The following is a 2106-nucleotide window of genomic DNA, read 5'->3' as shown; positions in this document are numbered from 1 at the left end:
TGTCCTCCAGGATGACTGAAGCCATGACAGTCCCACCAGCCACTGATGATAGTGCTCATTCCTCCCCTTACCAGTGCCAATATGCTGTATTGTTACATGCTTTCATTTTTGCAACTCTAATGAATATAGAACGGAATCTTGTTATCATTTCCATTTGCTTTTCCATAATTATAAATAAGGCTAAGCACACACATAGACAACACTCTGATGCAAATTCTCTCTTCTACTTCTGACTTTGGCCCTGAATGTAAACCACAGCATCCTCAGACACAGTTTCTTCTCTTCCTTTCTTTCTGCCTCAGTTTGCCCAAGAAGAGAGTGTTTCCTCTGAGCCTTTTAGTAGTTTCAGAAGTTGCCTAATGCATCAGAAAGTCCTGTTGCATGCATGTGTGAGCCTGTGTGGGTGTGCACATGTGTGGTGCACATATGTATACATGCACACATGCATGCATGCATGTGTTAATGTGTGATGTGTCCATGTGTGCACACAGGTGATGTGTATGTAATCAGTGAGAAGTTTCTGTTAAAGAGTCTTGCAATACTCATACTCTTTGAAAGAGGAATCTTAACTCAGAGCCTCTATCTTAAAAAGTGTATGAAATACGGAAAGATTGAATATATTAAGTTATAATGTAATATATTAAATTATATATGGTGTGTCCATGTGTGGACGTGTCCACGTGTAGTGTGTGGTGTGTCCACGTGGACATGTATATCCAGCTACGTGTCTAGGGCGGGTATGGGTGAGGGAGCTGTCATTCCTGGTCAGGCTCTGCTTCAATTCAAACCTGTGTTGTTTGAGGCAAAGAGGCTGGTATCTGGGGTGACTGAAGACACACACAGTCTTGTTTTCTTTCTATCTCCTGCTGCCCCTCAGCTGTGTGTCCCAGTGACTTCTGGAGAAAAATTGGATGCTCTGTAACCCTACCCCAAATCAGGTCCAGGAAGAAAGAGGAAGGAACTAACCACAGTTCATTCAATTATTCTCCTATTGTTGGTCATTTTAGATAGTTTTCTGTTTTTCAGTATGAAAAGCAATGTTCGGTTAACATCAAATTATACTAAATTAAAGCTAAACTTATTTTTTAAATTAATTTAATTAATATACTGAATCTTTCCATATTAAATATTGATTTTTAAGATACAGACTTGGAGTCAAGATTTCTTTTTCAGAGAGTGTGAGTATTGGAAGGCTCTTTAATAGAAACTTCTTGTTGATCTGATCTTCATTCCTTTGGTTAGTAGTAAGAGCAGCTGCCTTCCACTGAGGGCTCAGAGCATGCCAGTGCCAATGCCTGCGTACGACTAGCATCTGTGTGAATCTCATCTTCCCATCTCTGGGCTCTGGTCAGAATTTGTGTAGTAGTAGTAGTCCCAGCTTCTTGGGAGGCTGAGGTGGGAGGATTGCTTGAGCCCAGAAATTAGAGGTTATAGTGAGCTAAGATTACTGCACTCCAGCCTGGGCAACAGAGCGAGACCCTGTCTCAAATAATCATTTTGAAAATCAATGCAGAGTTGTCACAATTTTATTTTGCCAAGTCTGAACATTATTAAAATAAACCCCACAAACCTATTACCTACTGTCTCTATTATTTCATAAAAAGTAGGAAGATATTTGAACACTCCTGAAACTGTATTTGGCTTTTACAAACAATATTTCATTGTCTTCATTTTTCTCACTTTGATCCAGAAAGTGACCCAGCCCCTGGCGCCTGGTTGGCTAGAACCCTGTCCATTTCTGCCCAAGCCTAACCCCCTCCACCCTCCAGGGAGATGGCTCATATATCACGGCTCTCCAGGACCAAGGGGTCCCTGGAGTCAGAGCAGAAGCTCATGGGAGGGTGCTGAGGAGAGACAGATTTTGGCTCAGGCTTGAGAACATCCTCCTGATAAATGGGCGTGTTCACATGAACCAGGCTTTCTGGGAGAGTGGTGGGAGGCTGAGCCAGAAGTGTTCCAGGGAAGCTGAGGCCACTGCTGTGCAGGTTTCTGCCTGGAGTAGGTGCTCTTTTCCAAGGTTCAGATTCTACAATTTGTAAAGGAAAAGAAAAATGTTCTGAAGGTTTGTTCAGTCCTACCCTGCATAAACCACCTGTGTTTCCCGCT

Source organism: Homo sapiens, chromosome 10 (genome assembly GCF_000001405.40).
Source record: "Homo sapiens chromosome 10, GRCh38.p14 Primary Assembly".
Classification (NCBI taxonomy): domain Eukaryota; kingdom Metazoa; phylum Chordata; class Mammalia; order Primates; family Hominidae; genus Homo; species Homo sapiens.
This window is presented reverse-complemented; position numbering follows the sequence as displayed.